At 44.7% G+C, this 12,927-nt stretch overlaps 1 protein-coding gene and 2 pseudogenes across 1 annotated transcript, besides 1 other annotated feature; all 3 read right to left on the minus strand.

Moving 5' to 3' along the window:
- LOC100420228 (MAGE family member C3 pseudogene) lies at nt 561-1,912 on the minus strand (annotated as a pseudogene).
- MAGEC2 (MAGE family member C2) lies at nt 8,542-11,490 on the minus strand. The gene is made up of 3 exons (NM_016249.4): nt 11,303-11,490; nt 10,562-10,655; nt 8,542-10,253 (listed from the first exon to the last, which is right to left on the minus strand). Exon 3 carries the CDS (start codon nt 10,185-10,187, stop codon nt 9,066-9,068), a length of 1,122 nt encoding a protein of 373 aa, NP_057333.1. The 5' UTR covers nt 10,188-10,253; nt 10,562-10,655; nt 11,303-11,490; the 3' UTR covers nt 8,542-9,065.
- Nucleotides 10,005-11,204: an enhancer, noted in NCBI's record as "CDK7 strongly-dependent group 2 enhancer chrX:141291591-141292790 (GRCh37/hg19 assembly coordinates)". NCBI's record gives its function as "activates an origin of replication core promoter dependent on BRD2, BRD4, P300/CBP, MED14 and CDK7 cofactors, with strong dependence on CDK7, by STARR-seq in HCT116 cells {active_cell/tissue: HCT116}" and the evidence as "EXISTENCE:reporter gene assay evidence [ECO:0000049][PMID:35650434]".
- On the minus strand, nt 11,374-11,949 carry LOC100420230 (MAGE family member C3 pseudogene; annotated as a pseudogene).

Here is a 12,927-nt window from a genome sequence, read left to right on the forward strand (position 1 = left end):
AGACTCCGTCTCAAAAAAAAAACAAAAAAACAAAACAAAAAAAATTAAATTATGCTACTTTCTTGATTAAGCCAAACAAACCCAGATATATAGCTTTAATTGTCTAGAACAACACAATAAGGAGGATGAGGAATGTCAAAAATTAACAATCCTTTATTTTGTTCCATGATTTAAATACGGAGTTCTTTCACATTTCAAAGAAAATTCCAATCCAATCCCGACACCACATTCTACTGTTCCAGATCATAAGACAGGTTTTCAATTTTTTTCCTTACAAACTATGAAATCCTTACTCTTAAACCAGATAAACAGCAGTACATGTGTGACGATTTTCATGAACTAAGATTCTGAAGTGAATTAAGCCAACCAAAAGGGGAAGCATTTGAAAAATACTGCCCCCCCCCCCCCGCCCACACACACAAAATGTTAAATTCTAAGTCACTCATATGAAACAGGAACACAAAGAACACTGTGGTCCCTCCAGCTCCACTCTCGTCCTCCCCTGCCTAGAACCTTGACTGCCCTCTTCAAACACAGAGGGGGAATCTGCCTCAGACTTGACTCAGGACAGAAGTTGGTGGACATGATAGTGGGCTTGCATGGGCCATGGAAGTAGCCTCATCTGTGGTGTCAATGACGGCCTGGGCTCTGCCTTCCACATCTTTCAAAGCATCCATGTACCAGGATGGAAAGGAACTAGCAATGGTACTGTCTAGCTGCCTAAACACTCTAGGACTTTCGTCTTGCTGATTTCTGAATGGGCTCTTAGACCTCACAATAATTCATACTCTGGACGAGCATTGTAGGGCACCTCCCGGTACTCCAGATACTTTCTCTGCACCCAATCTATAGTGAGGAGCTCCCTGGGCTTCCCATAAATGAAGGGCTCCCTCCCAGCATACACCCCTATCGAATTCAGCACTTCCCAAATGACCTTCTCAGAGGCACAGCTGCCCTTTATGAAGACCACACTCAGAATAAGAATTAGGAGGTGGTTCTTGGACATTCCCTGGCCATCACTCAGCCTCCCTTGGTCGCAGAGTTCTACTGTGTTTTCAAAGACATAGGAGTGGTTGTTGGTGTCCATCTCAGTCAGGGCAATGCCAAACATTAGTTCCATGAACTCATGAGCTTTCCTGAAGATCACAGGAAAGCAGTCCTTATACTTCTTGATGACAGTCGTCAGCATCTCAGCCTTTGTGACAGGCTCCTTTATTTGATAATTGAGGAGAAGAAACTGCACCAACTCAGGCACCTTTTCATCCAGTGCATATGTGAGCAAGGATTCACTGTCTGACAAGGCATGCCATGTAGCTGCATCCTCCACTTTTTGCCTGCTGGACTCCTCATCCAATGGGCCTCACAAAGAGGAGAAAGAGCAGGAGCTCAGAGGTCTCTGGGTAGGATCATGAAGAGGAATCCTGGGAGCACTCTGGGGAAGAATTGGAAACCCAGCAGCAGGCATGTCCTTGTCCTCTGGAGCATCCAGAATCAGAGTAGAGAATGAGGAAGAGGAGGAGGAGGAAGAGCAGGAGGGGAATAAAAAGTGGAAAGAGGAAGAGGAAATGGAGGAGGCTTCCTCCTCCTCCTCTTCTGTGGAATCCTGTGCAGATTCTACCAAGACCTGTATCAGAATTGCGGTCTGGAAGTCTTGCTCAAAGTTGAGGCGGGGAAGGATTGGGAAGAGAGGTGTGACGACTCTTGTTCAGAAGTAGCATCCTTTGAGCAGGGATGGGGAGGATGGGATCCCAGAGGCATGAGGGAGGGAGGGACAGTATGAGTGGCCTCAGCTGAGAAACTCACCCATGATGGCTCTGACAAAGGCCAACTTACAGCTCTTCTTCTCTTAAGGTGGTGCTCTAGGGCCTCACAGGTGTCCTGTCTTCATAAGGGGTTTGTTCCCTAGGAACCTGTAGGAGGATGTGAGACAGCACCTCGGGGCACAGATGGCAGGCAGAGCCCCAGACTCGGAAACTGGAAGTAGGTGAGTAGTGCCGGGTGCTTCGTGGTGGGAGGTCACTGTCCTTCCACAGAGTTCTCTTCTCGTTGAATGGCCAGCCCTGGGATTCCTCCCTCTGCTTGACTGAAGCTGCCCTCCTCTGAGAAATAGTCCCCTCTGGCTGACCCCTAAAATGGAAGTCAGAAAGTTGTACATCTGGCATCCCTGATGTCCTCCAGAGCTGGCTGCAGGCACAGGGACAGGGGAGGGGCACTGTCATCCATGGCATTCCCTTCCAACTTTGCTAGGGGCTGCGCCTGGACTCCTGAAACTGCCTGGGCTGCCTGCCTCTGGCCATCTGAGTCTTTCACCTCTGAATAAGCCCCTCCCATCCCTAAGACCTGCAAGGTAGAAGAGAGGGAGAATCGCATCCATCCACAGTGGGAATGGGCCTCCCAGGGCCTGTACTCCCTCCCTCTTCTGTCCAGACAGCAACCTTTCTTCTAAAATCCATTACAAATCCTTCCACTTTACTGCTGTGTGTGAAGTTAATATCAGCTCTCACCTAGCCTATGTCAAAGGCTTCCTTATTGTTGCTTCTTTTCTTATTCTTGTCCCAGAAAAACCCATCATCTGTTCAGCAGCCCGGGATCCTTTTAAAAATCCAATTCGTGATTATTTTTTTAATATACACATATCAGATTTAACTATGATGTGAAGTTATATGTGTTTTGGCAAATGCATTGAGTCCTACATCTACCTCCCAAGTATCATACTGACCAGTTCCATCACCCTCAAAGTCCCATGTGCATCCGGTTTGAGGTCAGTCACTACATTTCTCCACAGCTCCTAGTAACTATGCACTCTTTTCAGTTCACATTGTTTTAACCTTCACAATTTGTCATATGAATAAGTCCATAAAATATGAGTTTAAAAGTGTGGCTGTATCATTTTTCATCACAACTAGCAAGGAGTGAGAATTCCCGTTGTTCCATATCCTCTCTTACATTTGGCATTTTAGATTGTCAGATTGCAGTCATTCAAATAAGTATACATTCCAATTTTTTTTGTTTTTTGTTTGCATCTCCCTAATGACAAATGACGTTATATGCCTCTTTGCAATGGGTGTACCCTCTTGGGTAAAATGTCTGTTCAAATCATTTGCATCTTTTAAAAAACGAATAGACTTCATTTTTACAGCATTGTTAATCCAAAAATACAAAGAGAAAACCTCTTCAAAAGTACAGAGAATTCCTACATATCTACACCATCCTCCTGCCCTGCCCCATGTGTGCACGCACGCGCGCGCGCGCACACACACACACACACACACACACACACACACACAGTCTCCTATTATTTACATTTTGTATTATTATGGCATGTTTGTTACAGTTGATTTGACCTCCACTGATGCCTCATTATTAAGTAAAGTCCACAGTTTACATCAGGACTCACTCAACATTGGGGATGCTATACGTTTTGATACGTGTGTAATGGCAAGTATTCATGATTCCAGTATCATACAGAGTTGTTTCACCATCCTAAATCTCCTGCGTACTCCACCTATTTATCAATCCCCCATGTCCTACCCCCAACCCATCAGCCCGTGGAAACTACTGATATTCATAGTTGCCTGTTCAACAATATTGTATGAGTGGAATCATACATTACGTCTCCTTTTTAGCTATTCTTCTTTCACTTAGCAATATGCATTCACGATTCCTCCAGGTCTATCTCACTAACAGTGCCTGAAAGTTCCTGTTGTTCAACATGCATGTCAACATTTGATGTTTCAGTGTTTGGGAATTCAGCCATTCTCCTGGGTGTAGAGTGCTATCTCCTAGGTGCTTTAATTTGCAATTCTCTAATGCCATATGACATTGAACAGTTTTCTTATACATGCTTATTTTCCATCCCTATATAGTTATTCTTTGGTGGGGTGCCTGTTCAGACTTTTTTTGCCCATTTTAAATTGGGTTTCTGTTTTCTTATGATTGGGTTTTCAGAGTTTTGTGCATATTAAAATACATATCTTTTATCAGATATATGTATCAAAGAATACTTATCCCTTTCTCTTGCTTGTCTTTTCATTATCTTAGCAGTATCTTTTCACAGTGGAAGTATTTAATTTTATTAGAGTCCATTTTTTCTCTTTATCTTAGATTGCTGGTATTTTTAGTGTTTCATCTGAAAAATTCCTCATCACACCCAAGGTCACCTAGTGTTTGCACCCATAAGTTTGACCAACATTTAACATTGTGATAAAATGCTTGTAAAAATGGATCATTTCCCCATGGACAAATGTGTGAGGAAATTAACTGGTGAAACATTTTGGGAGAAAGCCCTCAACATTATAAAAAATACAAAATATTCATACTCTGTTCACACTCACTCAGTTTTCACATTAATATGCATTCCTTATAAGTAATTGTATGCATTTATCCCAGAATTTATGCTTAAATATGCTGATTGTATTTATTATAGCTGCAAAAGAGAAGCACATGTGTGTTCATGAGGAGGAGATTTGTTCAGTGTGTTAATGCAAGAAATAAATGGGAATTCTAGGGAGTAGGTCCGAAAGTAAGATAAATGTATATGTGCTGTGAGGCAAAGATTTTGGATCCATTTGAATAAGTGAGTATATTGGTTTGTTAGGCCTGCCATAGCAAAGTACCTCAACCTGGATGACATAAACAACAGACATTTATTGTCTCATAGTTTTGGAGTCTGGTAGTCAAAGAGCAAGGCGTTCACAAGGTTGGTTCCTGCTGAGGGCTGTGAGGGAAGAATGTTTTCCGGGCCTCTCTCCTTGCCTTGTAGATGGCTGTCTTCAATCCATACATGCTCACATTGTCATCCCTCTACTCATATCTCTATGTCCAAATTTCTCTTCTTAATAATGACTCCCATGATATTTAATTAGGGCCAGCATTAATAACCTCATTTTAACTTGATTGCCTCTGAAATAATCCTATCTCCAAATAATGCCACATTTTAATATAAACGGAATTTAACCTATGATAGTGCAAAGGTAACTCACATATCTATATGTATATCATTACCCATGTATAGTTATATTTATAGACACACATATATTAACATATATGTAATCTCTGTGTGTGTGTTTCTGTATTACCACATCTGTCATTTAAAATCTTGAAATCAGCTTCTAAAATTTACACACCACATTGTTAATTGTGCGAACTTCTGAGTAAGAGCTGAATCTTGGAGAAACTTAACAAAGGGAAGAAATGTGGTTTCTGTGTATTTTTAGAATTTTTTGCAACAATAATATATGCAGTATTTATTTGTGAGAAAAGCATTAAAGTAAGCCTAAGAAAAGGAAGAGTAGTGGTGTAGTAGTCAGATAAAGTAATAGTAAGCTGATGAAATGAAAAAATTTCCTGAAATTTACATAGCCTAACATGTTTAAATTCCGATTTTAGTTGACAGCGTGTTATGGGCTGAGTTCCACCTCTCCCTCCAAAGGCATATATCCAAGTCTTAAACCCCCAGTACCTCAGAATGTCACTGTATTTGGAGACAGAGCCTTTGAAGAGGTAATTAAGTTAAAATGAGGTCTTATTACTAGAGTCTTATTCAATATTACTGGTAGGTGTCCTCATAAGAAGAGGCGATTAGGATACAGACACACAGACCAAGGGACAACCATGTAAAAATTCAGTGAGAAAGTGGCCATCTGCAAGTCAAGGAGAGGCCACAGAAGAAATCAACTGGCAAAAATCTTGTTGTTGGATTTTTAGCCTCCAGAAATGTGAGAAAATACATGGGTGTTGTTTAAGTCACCCAGTCTGTGGTATGTTGTTATGGTATAATAAACTAATACACAGTGAGTCTTGGCTCTCACATTACCCAGGTATCCTAGCTGCTTTCAACTTGTAGCTTTACATCATAACAGATGTTAACTGCTGAAAAGAAACAAAAGCATTGGAAGGATACACTGGCTTCTGTCTAATTGCAAATGAACCAATCAGGAAGACAAGTTAGACAAGAAGGAGATTGGCAATTGTAATGTCTCACATAAGCCATTATGGTGCGCAATTAAAAGCACCTATTATAATTTATGACAGTAAGTCTTTTAATTTCTTGGAATTGTTTATGAGAAAGCCAGCATTGCCTTGAAATGTTCCCCTTTTTATTGCACCTACTAGGTGATTGGCGGTTTCAAAGAAAGCATTACAACAATAGGTTTTAAAACAATTCTGTAAGTCTTGGCAAGGAGGTCAACCTTATTCTCTCAGCACTTTACTGCACTGTCCTTTTTATAACAAACATGATTTCTTTAGGCTGAGAATCCTCTCATGCCTTTTGGTGTATATCCTACCCTGAGAGCCTCTGCTACCCTTCATATAACTGAACATTCTTGAACAACTGCACATGTGCCTGTGGCGCACTGCAAACCAGGATTTTCCTGTGCGGCAGGTATGCAAAGGACAATGGAAAGATGGTCAACCATTGTTTCCTTTGCTCATCAGAGCTAGCCAAGGAACCATTGTCACCTCCTAGGCAGTATTCAGGATTTTGTTATTTTTCTATTTTTCAGAAATTCAACTCCTTGTCATTTATTTACAAAGTGATTCCCATAGTCTCATCTCATATACCAAGTTTATGAAGGAAGCTTTGGCTTTTGACCACCTAGTATAGCTCATTCATCTGTGTATCTCTTCAGTGGCCTGTTTCAAACAATGTTACTACAAATATCATATATTAAAATCCTAATACAAATATCAAATATTAGGATGATCTCAAAAACTCTCTTACCCTAGGATTACATGTCTAGAATCAGTATATTATGTGGCAAATCAGATTCTACTCACCACCCTATGTGGGAGTATTTTGAGAGTGTTTGAAGATGCCCAGAATAGATATGGAATTGTCACTATCCAAACTGAAAATTTACATCGAATTACTTTTATCACACAGGAGCCGGCAGGGAGGGATGGATCAGTCAGGGAACTTCTGCAGGGATGAGGAGGCGTCTATGTCAGGGGAAGGACTGCGATTCTGGGCTGTTCACTGGAAGCGGCGCACAGCCTTCACAGAGAGATTGTAGGGACGAGCTGGTCAGCAGGACAGGTTCCAGAGTTACTCAAGAGAGCACACAGGAGAGATCAGAAGGAGGATGCTGTTAAGTGGGAAAGTGCTGAGGCTGGACAGTCAGCTCTCAAGAAACCTAGGGCTCAGAATAGGAGCAGGTAAACAAAGCCCACAATGATCCCCAAATTGTATTTATTCTCATTGTCACCATTCTTCTCCCAGACTACCTGAATACCTTGGACACAGGGTTCATCTTTATGTCATCTGAGAGATGATAGCAAGTGTGCAGAGAAGTGTAGCTTAAAACGCAAAGGCCTTCCTCAGGCTGGGAAGAGAGGAACAGTATGAATCAAGATGAATTCAGAGCAAGGCTCAAGTGCCAGCACTGTCACTTTCTAGCCGTGTGATCTTACTGAATTTATCAAGGACTATGAGCCTCAGGTTCTTCATCTATAAAAGGGGTTTCATAAGCCCTGCCTTAGAATTGCTGGATGTTTATAATGTGAGTAAAACACCTGGCACAGTGCCAAGCATATACTGGAATTTTAACAAATGGCAGTTGTTATCAATATGATTATAACCTCAAGGGTACCACTGTCTTTTATGAAAAATTTCACTCCTGTTTTATGATCCAAAACATCTCAGAGCATATTTAGCTGACTACGTCATGGAGTACCAACTCAACCAAAAATCTGGCTTCATAAATAAAACTCAGTACATTTTCTTTCCAAAATGATATACTGTATAACTTGGGTAAGTGGAGAATTACCCAAGTGGAATGCAACTCAATGATCCCGGAATTTGAGTCAAGGACCAACTCCTTTTTGCCTTCCCCAGTGCTCGTCGATCCAAAGCACTATTTTTATGTATCCTCCACTAAAAATCTAGCCCTTGCTTGGAGTTGCCCACATTAAATTCAAAATAACCTAATTCAGTGGCCTTTCCATGGAGTAGGCTCTGGCTCTCCCATGCCAGGTAAGTGAGTGCCAGCCTAGAGGCTTCTGGGCACCACTTCAAGGAATTATCACCACATTTCTCAGGAAACTCTTGCAGATGATGGGTATCAATCACCTAGTCCTTGCACTGTGTTCAAGCTCACCAGTTACAGAGCCACAGGACACCTTCCATGACTTCCCCAGGTGGATACTCCTCTCTGCTTCATCCTCCACCCAGAAGCAACTGCTCAGAGCAATTTTCCATTCCAGGCTCTTCCCTCACCCTCTGAGAGTCTGGTCCCTGCCACCACCCAGCTTCGTAACTACCACCTCCCAGAGAAGCAACTGCAGTTTTCCAAAGCCCCAAGCTGCCTTATCTCAAGACCTTTATACTTGAAGGCTTGCATCTGGAGTCTCACCTCCCCAGCCCCTTTTTAACTTGTTCTTTAGATTGTAGAGAACATCTTACCACCTTCTTAATATGGCTTCTGCTCCTAGACTCTACTGTTTTACGGGTAGAGATAAGTCATGCTTTTATTAGTATCCCCAATACTAACAGTGACTTCCACAAGCAAATACTAAAAGAATGTTCAGCAAATAAAGGAGTCAGTGGGGCTTTCTTTTATTAAGATTTAATTTCTGCTACTTTCTTCAACAAGCTAAGCAAAGCCAGGTATATATAATTTTCAAGAACAAAAGAATAAGCAGGACAAGGAAATGAAACTACTGACCACCCTTCAATTTTGTTCCACTATTTAACTGCTGAGTTATTGCACATTGTAAAAAAAAAAAAAAATGCCTATTACAATACCACACTACCCTGTTACAGATCACAAAATAAGGGAGAAGGTATTTCCATTTTTTTAACAAAATATCAAACTGTTACTCTTAAACCAGATAAAGAGCAATACATGTGCGACTAATATTCATAAATTAACACTCTGAAGCTAACTACCTGCTATTCAAAGGAAAAGCATTTAGAAAATACTGAAAAACAGGTAAATCTCTACATCACCCATATGGGACAGAAATGCAAAGAACACTACGTTCCTCGAGCCCCACCTGGCCCTCCACTACCTAGAACCTAAACTGCCCTGTTCAAACACAAGGGGAAGAAACTATCCTAGACTTCACTCAGAAAAGGAGACGTTGCTGGACATGACACTGAGGCTTTCACTGGCCATGACAGTGGCATCATCTGCGGTATCAATTGTGGCCTGGACTCTCTCTTCCACATCTTTCAAAGCATCCTTGTACCAGGATGGAAAGGAACTAGGAACAGTGTTGTTCAGCTTGGCTAAAAACTCTAGTACTTTCTTCTTGATGCTTTCTGAATGGGCTCTCGGACCCCACAGGAATTCATAATATGGAGGAGAACTGTGGGGCACCTCCCGATACTCCAGGTAATGTCCCTGCACCCAAACTTTAGTGAGGAGCTCCCTAGGCTCCCCATAGACGAAGTGCTCCCTCCCAGCATATACCCCTACTGCATTCAGCACTTCCCAGATGACCTCCTCAGAGGCACAGTTGCCCTTTATGAAGATCACACTCAGAATAATAATCAGGAGGCTGTTCTCGGGCATGCCCTCATCATCACTACCCTCATCGGTGAGGCCTACTGTGTTTGCAAACACACAGAAGTGGTCAGGGCCCACTTCTATCAGGGCAAGGCCAAAAAGAAGCTCCATGAACTCACGGGCTCTCTTGAGTATCACAGGAAAGTAATCTTTGTACTTGATGACAATCATCAGCATCTCTGCCTCTGTTACAGGCTCCTCTGCTTCGTATTTGAGGAGCAGGAACTCCACTAACTCGGCCACCTTTTCATCTAGTGTATATGTGAAAGAGGACTCACTGTCTGGCAGGCCCTGACAGGTGCCTGTATCCTCCCCTTTCTGGCTGCTGGACTCCTCACTGAATGAGCTCCATGAAAAAGAGGAGCAGCAGGAGCTCAGAGGACTCTGGGAAGGACCCTGTGGAGGACCCTGTGGAGGACTACTGGGAATGCTCTCGGTAAGATTTGGTATCACACCAGAGGGCACCTCCTCCTCCTCAGGACCACCAAGAATCAGAGAAGAGGATGTGGAGAAAGAAGAGGGGGAAAATACTAAGTACAAAGTGGAAGAGGCGGAGGAGGCTTCCTCCTCTTCCTCATCTGTGGGATGCTGTGCATCTACCCAGTCTTCTAACTCAACTGAGGTCGGGGAGTCGTTGTCAACGTTGCGGAATGGAACGCCTGGAACGGGAGGCATGACGACTTCTTCAGGAGCAGCAGGTAAACGTATCAACAGGGATATGGATGATGAGATCCAACAGGCCTGTGGAAGAGAGTGACAGTGTGAGTGGCCTCAGCTGAGAAACTCACCCATGATGGCTCTGACAAAGGCCACCTTACAGCTCTTCTTCTCTTAAGGTGGTGCTCTAGGGCCTCACAGGTCTCCTGTCTTCCTAGGGAGTTTGTCTGCTGGGAACCTGTAGGAGGATGTGGGAACACACCTCAGGGCACAGCTGGCAGGCAGAGCCTGAGACCCCAGGAGTGACAATAGGTGGGTAGGGCCGGGTGCTGTGGGGTCTCCTCTGTTTCTGGGGGTAGGGCCCTTGGTACACAGCCAGGGTGTGCACTCACCTTGACTCCTGGCACTGCCTGGGCCTCCTCTGCTGTGCTGACTTTAGGCTGTGTGCCTCACACCCAGTTCGTCACCACCTGGTTCCTGGAGCACCTGCAAGAGGAAGTGAGGGAGCCCCTCAGGCTAAAGACTGCAAGTAGGGTCTTGGGCCTGCTAGGGCTGACAGCTGGGGCTGGCCAGAATCCCAGAGCCTCATAGTTCTGGACTGCATGGCCCCCTCAGAATTTAATTAGCAACTTCACGGCTTCTCAGAGAGGGCCGAGCCTCCACCACTCTGCTGGCCTAAGGCAAAACCTCAGAGCAACCGCCACATCCCTGAGAGCAGTGGGAGGTAGGGCGGTGGCAGCCACCTCCCAGCACTCTACCATGGGGGCAGTCGGGGTAGCCTCACGTCCGTTCTGATGCACATGTGACTCCTCAGTCTTATCCCCAGCAGGGCCTGGGAATCTTCCCTCTGCCAACCAGAGGCAGCTCCCCGTGCTGACTTGCCATGGGACCCTCAGACCAAGGCCTCCGCCTCCCCTACGCCACTCACCCAGGAATAAGATGGCTGCCACCCCGCCTGAGCTGACTGGGGAGCTCTACGAGGGCTGATACTTGAGGAGCAGGGTGGGAATCTCTGGGAATCTGCCCTCTGAGGTGGGGGTTCCCCCAGCCCTCCTCAGTGTCTTCCTATTTATTCCCTAGAGGGCCGGCACCTCCTCCCTTCTTCTGGGGCCATTTCCCTGTCTGGGACCTACCAGTCTCACGGCAGCGCAGTACAGGCCGGGGTTTCTTCTCTCTATGGTGGGAGGTCCCTCAGTTCTTCCTCAGGGCCCTCACCCTGAGGACTGGCCAGGTCTAAGACTCTTCCCCCCGCTAACTTGATTCGCGCCTCCTCACAAATGCCTTCGATCCGTCAGATTCCCAAGATGGCCGTCGGGAAAGCACATCCGGGAACCCTGCCGTGGTTGTCCAGGGCTGACGCAGCGTCAATGTGGGGCGGGGCCTCCTCTCTGAGGAGGAACCACCCCCCACCTCTCTGCTTTTTTTCCATCCCTTCCTCCCCACCTCCCAGCTGCCCTCCAACCCTTCCTGCTCACTCCCTAAGCCTTGCGGACCTCTTCACTCCCACCTCCCCAGTCCTTGACACCCCACTCTCCTTTTTCCAGGGGTGTCAGCAGGGAGTGGCTTGGTGCAGTCTGCGCCTCCCCTCCGTGTTGGGAGGTCACCGTCCTTCCACATCTCTCTTGTTTTTTGGCCAGTTCTGGGACTTCTTTCTCTGCTTAACTGAAGCTGCCCTCCTCAGAGACAACAGCCTCCCCTTCTGCTGACTCTCAAAATGGAAGTCAGAAAATTGTACATCTGGGGACCCTGATGGGGTCCTCCAGAGCTGGCAGCAGGGACAGGGGAGGGGCACTACCAGTCATGGGTGTTCCCTTCCAGCCTTCCTGAGAGGCTGTGCCTGGACTCCTGATACTGCCTGGGATGCCTGACCCTGTGCATCTGAGTCTTTCACCTCCGAATAAGCCCCTCCCATCCCTGAGACCTGCAAGGTGCAAGAGAGGGAGAATCACATCCATCCACAGTGGGATAGGGCCTCCTAGCCCTAAGGCAGGCCTCCACTGCCCTCTGAAATGGGGTGGGAATGCCCCTCTGTCTTTCTCAAGGTATGACTCCTAAAAGAGCCTATACTCCTTCCTTCTCCTGTCCAGACAGCAACATTTGTTCCTTCGACCTCTAAATTCCATTCCAAGTTTTTCCACTTTACTGCTGTGAGTGAAATTAGTGTCATCTCTCCCATACCCTGTGTTAAAGGCTTCCTTATTGTTGCTTCTTTTCCTATCCTAGTCCCTGAAAAAAACCACTGTCTTTTCAGCAACCCGTGACCCTTTAAAAAACCAATACGTGATTAAAGTTTTAAATACACACATCAGATTTAACTAGAATGTGAAGTTATATGTATTTTGGAAAATGCATGGACTCCCATATCTACCAACCAAGTATCATACTGACCAGTTCCACCTGCCTAAACTTCTCCTGTGCATCCCTTTTGAGGTCAATCACCGCACTTCTACAAAGCTCCTAGCAACTGTCTTCTGTTTTCAGTTCCTATACTTTTAACTTTTCCAATTTGTCATATGATTAGCTTCATAAAATACTGACTTAAAAGTGTGCCTGTACTATTTTTTATCACAACTAGCAAGGAATGAGAATTTCTGTTATTCTATATCCTCTCTTACATTGAGTATTTTAGATTTTCAGGTTTTAGCCATTCTCATAAGCATGTATTGGAACCTTCTTTGGTTTTTGTTTGCCTCTTCTTAATGACATATGACATTGGTCATCTTTTTATATGCTTTTTTTCCGTTTGCTATATTCCCTT

Source organism: Homo sapiens, chromosome X, assembly GCF_000001405.40.
Source record: "Homo sapiens chromosome X, GRCh38.p14 Primary Assembly".
Taxonomy (NCBI): Eukaryota; Metazoa; Chordata; class Mammalia; order Primates; family Hominidae; genus Homo; species Homo sapiens.

Coding starts and splice junctions, on each gene's coding strand:
- MAGEC2 (NM_016249.4), bottom strand. CDS start 10,187: ATGCCTCCCGTTCCAGGCGTTCCATTCCGCAACGTTGACAACGACTCC.